The sequence below is a fragment of the Homo sapiens genome, chromosome 5 (genome assembly GCF_000001405.40).
Source record: "Homo sapiens chromosome 5, GRCh38.p14 Primary Assembly".
NCBI classification, from domain to species: Eukaryota; Metazoa; Chordata; class Mammalia; order Primates; family Hominidae; genus Homo; species Homo sapiens.
In genome coordinates, this window is record NC_000005.10 from 63,956,132 (window position 1) to 63,963,450 (window position 7,319).

The 7,319-nt window shown below is 47.6% G+C and overlaps 1 protein-coding gene across 1 annotated transcript, besides 2 other annotated features; it reads right to left on the minus strand.

Moving 5' to 3' along the window:
- Positions 1-1,742: 1,742 nt before the first annotated feature.
- On the minus strand, positions 1,743-6,314 carry HTR1A (5-hydroxytryptamine receptor 1A). Its single transcript, NM_000524.4, has one exon. It carries the CDS (start codon positions 5,586-5,588, stop codon positions 4,320-4,322), a length of 1,269 nt encoding a protein of 422 aa, NP_000515.2. The 5' UTR covers positions 5,589-6,314; the 3' UTR covers positions 1,743-4,319.
- Positions 4,191-4,412: a silencer, noted in NCBI's record as "fragment chr5:63256149-63256370 (GRCh37/hg19 assembly coordinates)". NCBI's record gives its function as "represses an EF-1alpha promoter that drives an FKBP-Casp9 reporter gene in an ReSE screen in both phorbol 12-myristate 13-acetate-treated (for megakaryocytic differentiation) and untreated K562 erythroleukemia cells {active_cell/tissue: K562 | K562(+PMA)}" and the evidence as "EXISTENCE:reporter gene assay evidence [ECO:0000049][PMID:32094911]".
- Positions 5,051-6,028: an enhancer, noted in NCBI's record as "H3K4me1 hESC enhancer chr5:63257009-63257986 (GRCh37/hg19 assembly coordinates)". NCBI's record gives its function as "activates a minimal SCP1, AML or CMV promoter by ChIP-STARR-seq in primed H9 embryonic stem cells {active_cell/tissue: H9 hESC(primed)}" and the evidence as "EXISTENCE:reporter gene assay evidence [ECO:0000049][PMID:30033119]".

Consider the following 7,319-nt stretch of genomic DNA (forward strand, 5'->3'; position numbering starts at 1 on the left):
GTCTGCCTTTTCATATTACCTCCCGTCGGCCCAGAGCTCAATCCTACATACAATATACAGCAATATACAGTGTTCTCTACCCACTCTTCCCTTCCCACTATGAGCCCACAGTGATCTTTGTCTTCTGAATTCTTATAGAGCCAAACTCCTGTGATTCATCCTGTTTATATGACACTTTGACCCTGTCATGAGTAGTTACTTGGCCTTATCAGTTTATTTTTATATATTCAAATTGGTTGAAAACTACTTTAAGGTAACAACAGCATCTTATATTAATTTATAGTTTTATATTTCAATATTATCAAGCAGTAGCTGACACATGATCACTGAAAATGGGTTAGTAGGGCTTCTTAGTCACACTGGAAGTGACTAGTAACTAACAATTCCTTCACTTAGTTGAGGTGTTGATAGAGGCCACAGGAAGGCCTGTAGAAAACAGAAAGCCATTGTCCCTAGAGGAAGAGATGCCAGAGGAAGGAGCAAGGGTCGAGAACAGTAATAGCCAAAATTCAACTGAAAAATGTGTCCAATTCAGCATTTTACTCAACATCAGGAACACATTTAGGTAACATGTTGAAAATGACAAACTTCAGATAGTTCTTATTCTATCAATTCCTCTAATTTTACTCTTTTTTTCTTTTTTGGAGATAGAGTCTTGCTCTGTCACCCAAGCTGGAGTGTAGTGGCGTGATCATAGCTCACTGTAACCTTGAACTCCTGGCGATCCTCCTGCTTCCCCTAGGCCTCAAAAAGTGTTGGGTTACAGGTAAGAGCCACCACTAGCACCCTGATTTTATTTTTCACTCTTGGGATAATATGTGTATGTACATACATCGCCTGAACCAAGCTTCATGAGCTTCAGAGTGCTCTCTGCTCTGGCAATAATGGCCATGACCTTTGTTTACTGGAGGTTTACCCATGCTCACTTTGCCCTGCAGCCATCATTCTGACACCAGAAAGCAGCAGAATGAACAAACATAACAACAGAAACAAGAGGTGTTTTTGACTACTTAAGTAGGGAAATAATAGAGCATAATAATTAATTTTAACATAGTAATACGTCATATATACAAAACCCTACTATGGAAGAAGACCCAGCCAGAAAATAAAATGCCCCTCTACTTTTAATTGATGAACCCCAAAACAATCAACTGTTTCTTTTGAAACAGGGGAGGTTATTTTCCTCCAGCTGAATGTTGCAGGGTAGACAGAGGAGGGATCTCAGCACCACCCACTGTTTTAAAAAGGCAGATTGGACCCCTGTTGCTTTCCCCAGAGACTGTAGTTTTCCTCCATATATCTTCAATTCTGTCCATGTTAGAAAGAAACCTATATGTTACCTGCAGGTGCCAGTCATAGAAAATGCATGGTTTTATGCCTAAATGATATGTGACTTTCTTTTTCCAGAGGCAGATTTTTTTTGAAAGAAATCACCTATCTAGAATGAGTTTTACTGTTGAAAACTACACTTATTTCCCTAAGTCAGATCCCTGACCTGTAAAGAAGGATCTTCTTTTAATCACTGTATTTTTTAACTTTAATTTTAAAATTATACAAATAAATACAAGTAGGTAGAGATTTTGAGTGAAATAAAGATGCATGTGTTACTGACATCAGTTAATTCTAGCATTACCATTATTAAAGTCTTTTATTGTCACGAGGAAAAGTGAAGGCAATTTTGATGCATCAGCACTTTACCTTAGTATAAATACTTTAAAGTAAAAAGAAAGCATCAGGCACTCTTTTGAGATATGCAGCTATTTTATTTCTCTAAATTCTCTATTGCCTTGACAATTATGCTCCAGTTGGATGTTCCTTCTCCATTCTTGTGTAAATATTCCAAAGCCGAAAGAACAAATGTCCAAAAGTCATTGTCACACAATTCTGTAAAAGACACAAATAAATGGAAGTCTCAAAACTTCTAATGTAAAACTTGCTGGCCAAGACATAATTTGGATGAGCAAATTTGGGGTTTGGATTATTTTAAATATAGACTTTGTTCTTAAAATTTAGTGTAACATACAGAAAAACTTGGTTTCTGATATGGCTTTACTTAGATTATGTGAGCAAAAATGAAACTGAATTATCAAATGAGTAATAGTTGTGCTGGAGAAGTCTATCTTATCTTCTTCACTGCAGACCCTTCTCAGCATTATACATGCATAGACAAACTATTCCCAAAGTTCTAAAACTTTCCCTGTTTAGCTGGGATATGATGTCTACTTCCAGTTTAGAATACAGAAGCAGACACCAAAGGAAAGCTTTGTTCAGTCTGACAAACAATAAAATGGCTTCAACTGACAGAGCTGTCCTTTCACTTTCTTAATTATAAACAAATGAACTTTTCACTGGCAATTTTTGCAATCTGTAAATGTAATACGGTTCTCAAAACAGCAAATGAAAACATTCGAAAGGTACAGCTGAAGAGAGAAAAGAGTAGGGATCAATTACTTTGTGAATTTTCTGGAAAACAAGACCATTATTCATAAGAAAATTGGAGGCTAGATCAAACAATGACAAACCTCTAGATCTCCATCATGTAGTTGGAAATTTACATCCAGAGTACCTAAATAACTTCCCTTTCTGGGGCAGCAAAGATTTTAACCAGTTTCTCGGCAGGAGTGGCAAGGCTTCAAGAATAACTGAAGGAGAGAAAGCCTGGAATGCTGCACAATTCAAAGGGCAAAAAGGTGGTTTCCGCAGACCCTTGGTACAGCAGAATGGTCACGCTAGGGAGCAATTAATCCCATAAAAGACTCAGCCTCCCCAGGAAGACCACCTCCTAACTAGTCCTTTAGGACCCTGCTATTTAAACTATCTGCCTGTTGTCACAGATAGTGCTAACCTATGGACTATCTGGGCATTCCATTGAAAGCCCAGAATTCCTATTTGGAAAACAAAGTTCTGCTAACTTTGTGTCTTGGATGTCCTGTAAAGCAAATGCAGCGAGTGTTGGGACACGCTAAACAGAATTATTCCCCGATCCAAAAAGGACAAGAGCGTGAATTAGGAGGAAAAATTCTACATCGTAAGGATAAAATTGCTCTTTCAGGTTTTACTGGGGGAGCCAGCTGGAGCCTTGGGCACGCGCGCCCTGGGGAACCTTTCCTCTTTGCCGCCCCTGCGTGTCGCCCCTTTAAAGCCTTCTTGGTCTCTCCAATCCCAAGAGTTCCGCGGCATCTTGCGCCACTGGCTAAGGCAAAAACCTCAGGTGTCTACCCGCGCTTCAGGGCGCCCCAGAGCGTAGGCGGAGGAACCCAGATCCTGTAAGTCAGCAGCCGGGAGCGCCTAGCGCGCTGCGAGAGCACAGATGGCTGGGGAGGCGCGCGGATTCCAGGCCTCTCAGCTTCCCCAGAGCGCAAACAGCGGCCGGCTGGCGCCTCCCGCAGTAAGTAAGTGGCGATGTCAGGTCGTACACACTCGCCAGCTACCTGTACAAACAGCGTCCGCTCTCTCCACTGTATGATTGTCAGTTTCTTTGGTGAGTGCTGACACCAAGGCAAGCATAAACAAAGTGGTCTGCACACCCTCCTCCTCCTTGCTCTCCCCCACTGGCCCGGCCTTGTACTTACAAGTCCACTCTAAAAGATACCTTCTAGCCACTTGCTTTGAGTCCAAGGAAACAAAGGAAATAGGGGTTGTGCACTGCACGAGAGAGTTAATCTCAAGTCTGCGAGAAGACGGGGAATCCCGGGGGCACCGCTGGCACGGGGAAAAGCAGCCTCTTCCGCCTCTCCGGACCAGCAGATTCGTGCATAAGGATGGGCGAGGGCAGAGAGGGAAGCAATGAAAAAAAGAAAAGATAAAAATGGGGAGAAAAAGGTGAATATTTCAAGGGCCACAGGGCGGGAGAGATGGAGCAAATTCCCAAACCTCAAGTCCAAGTTCTAGAAGTTGGGTGATGGGGTGGAGCCCCTTAGTGGGCGCGGCGGCTGTGTGTACAGTTTATTTATTTTTTGGATTTTCTGCCTTGAACTAAGCATTAAACATCCACCGCAAAGATTTAGGAGATAGAAGAGAGAAGAGGCAATTACTGGGATCAAAACTGATGATACAGGCGAAGTCTGAGCCAATGTCGCTTCTCACAAACTCTCTGAATTTCCTGGGCTCTCAACGCTCCTCCGCTGGGTCTCCTTTGCACAAAGGGCCCTGCCGTGGAGCAGGAAGTGGGGAGGGGACCAGGTCTGCAAGCCGTGAGCGGAGCAGAGAGAAAGAGGAGAAGTGGCGAATTATCTTAAGTGTTGATTCCCTAGGGTTGGGGGAAGCATAGTGAATGGGACGGATCCTGTAGCCTCGACTGGCCGGCTACTCCTCCGTCATCACTGGCGGCAGAACTTACACTTAATGATCTTCTTAAACGCGTTTTGAAAGTCCTTGTTGAAGTATGCGTAAATGACGGGGTTAAGCAGAGAGTTGGAGTAGCCCAGCCAATTGATTATGGCGCCCAACAGGGTGGGCATGTGGCAGCTGCTCTCGCAGAAGGGCAGAACAAGAGCCACGATGAAGAAGGGCAGCCAGCAGAGGATGAAGGTGCCCATGATGATGCCCAGCGTCTTCACTGTCTTCCTCTCTCGGGCCAGGGCCATCTTGCGCTTCGCCTCGGCGTTGCGCTCATTTTTCCTCTCGAAAGAGGCGGGGGCACAAGGGGTAGGACCAGCCTCGCTGGGCAGAGGCAAGTGCTCTTTGGAGTTGCCCACTCGGTGCACCTCGATCACCTCCAGGGCGGCGCCATCGTCACCTTGCCTCACCGCGCCATTGGCGCACAGAGCACCCCCAGCCTTGCTCTCCACGCCCAGCCTCCAGTTCCTGCTCCCCGACTCTCCATTCACACTCTTCTTGGGCTGCGGGGCGGGAGATGCTCCATGGCGGGTGTCCGCTCCGGTCTTCTCCACCTTTTTGACCGTCTTGCGGATGCGGAAGCGCGCAGCTCGGAATATGCGCCCATAGAGAACCAGCATGAGCAGCAGCGGGATGTAGAAAGCTCCAAAGGTGGAATAGATAGTGTAGCCATGATCCTTGCTAATGGTGCATGCGTCGGGGTCCGAGCGGTCTTCCGGGGTGCGCCAGCCCAGCATGGGCGGGATAGAGATGAGGAAGCCAATAAGCCAAGTGAGCGAGATGAGCGCAGCGGCGCGCCGGGGCGTCCTCTTGTTCACGTAGTCGATGGGGTCCGTGATGGCCCAGTACCTGTCCAGCGCGATGGCGCACAGGTGCAAGATGGATGAGGTGCAGCACAGCACGTCGAGGGCGATGAACAGGTCGCAGGTTACCTGGCCCAGTGTCCACTTGTTGAGCACCTGATACAGCGCGGCCATGGGCAGCACCAACACCGACACCATGAGGTCGGTGACCGCCAAAGAGCCAATAAGATAATTGGCCACGTTCTGCAGGGAGCGCTCCAAGGCGATGGCAGCCACCACGCACGCATTGCCCAGCACCGCGCAGAAGATGAGCGTGCCCAGCAGCAGAGAGGTGATCACTTGGTAGCTGACGGTCACGTCGGAGATACCAGTAGTGTTGCCGCCGGTCTCAAAGGGAGCCGGTGGTGATGTGGTGTTGTTGCCCTGACCAGGGCTGAGCACATCCATGCCTGCGCGCCCGGCGCGGGAAGGGGGAGGGAAGAAAAAGCAGCGCGAAGATTCGCCTCGCCCCTTCCCCTGGGGTCTTCCGCCCTTCTCCTGGGAAGTTTCGGAGGAAGGGAATGCAGAGACCCAAGCAGGAAGTTCTTACTGCTTCGGCGAAGGGTATCTCCGAGGAGCAGCTTTCAGGCGCTCCCTGGGCTCTCGCAGTCCAGCGCGTTCAGAAGCTCCAGCTGGGAAACTGGAGTTGGCCTGAAAGCAGCTCCAGGATCTCCCGGCGGCGGAGAGGTGGCTGGAACGTCTGTCTGTCGCTGTCCATTTTACTTTGCCGCTCCCGAACTGGCTGCCGGAGCTGGAGTCTCCCCACTAGCAAACAGTCTCCAATCCCAGAAATATCTAGAACCGAGAAGCCCCATCCTCCACGGTCACTCTGTGACCCTCCTCTCCCTATTTCCTTCCTTCCCTCTCTCCCCCTCTCTCCTCCTCTCTTCTCTCTCTTCTGCCTCTTTCGTCCCCCTTCTCCCCACCTGCCTTCCCTTTCAGTCTCCCTCTTCCTCCTCACTTCCCTTTATTTATCCCTCTGTGAGTCGCTTCGAAAGCCAGGCTCCTTCCCTCCCACTCTAACCCTCCCCTCCTAATACTTCCCCAACCCCGAGGAGTGCCTCTTTCCTCTGGGTCCCCGCCCTCCTCTCCCTCTAGCTCAGCGTCTTTGCATTCGAGTCTCTTTTTGTCAACAGAGACTCAGAACTCACTTACACACACCAGATCCCTGCCGGTCAGACCAAGGTTGTAACAAATAAACTCCGCCTCCAACCCAGCAAAACTGGGGTTGGAAAAACTTGGGGGAGGGAATTCCAACTACTCCTTGCCTCATATTATCTGCCAAATTCTTAAATCGTGTCAGCATCCCAGAGTGGCAATAGGAGATGAGAAAAGGAAGCATAGGGAGCCTGAATGGGAAGGTGAACAGTCCTGGGTCAGTCTCCCAATTATTGCTAATTGATGGAAGAAGACCGAGTGTGTCTTCCTTTTTAAAAAGCTACCTCCGTTCTCGCGCCATTGCACTCCAGCCTGGGCGACAGAGCGAGACTCCGTCTCCAAAAACAAACGAACAACGACGACAACAACAACAAAACGGTACCTCCGTTATCATCTAACAGTCCAGCCTTACTCCCTCAGGGAGAATATTGCCTGTGACTTTTTTTTTAACGTTGGGGAACCGGGAGAGAACGAAATTATAAAGGACGTGTCAAAGGACAAGGAGAGGTAAACAACTGCATCTCGAAATGAAGAACAAAACTCAGTGTGATATATATTCTAAACACACACACACTTTTCCATCACTACTACACTTGTAATTTCAGTGACACTGCCACTTCCCATAGCTTTGTGGCTAGTAAATTCAGGGATGGAAATATTTTGCATATGTGTTCTAAGTGAAGCCTGGCATTTCACATGGCCTTTTGCACTTCTTACCAGAGCCTGCAAACCTCTGGGGGAAACTTGGTGGAATCCCGGTTCGCTAGCCGGCTAGCCTCTCTTAATCTCAGAAACTGGGTTCAGCACCTGGGACAGTTCTAAGCAATGAGGTTTTATGTCGCCACCTTCTGGCAAATGTTTTAGAGTGCCATCTGGAAACCCTTATGCAGAAATGAAGCAAGTATTGAGGAAATACAACAACTTTTAGAAAGAGGAAGACAGTTATTAAAAGACAAGGTAGTATTGAGTTTTGTCTCCTTC

Coding starts and splice junctions, on each gene's coding strand:
- HTR1A (NM_000524.4), bottom strand. CDS start 5,588: ATGGATGTGCTCAGCCCTGGTCAGGGCAACAACACCACATCACCACCG.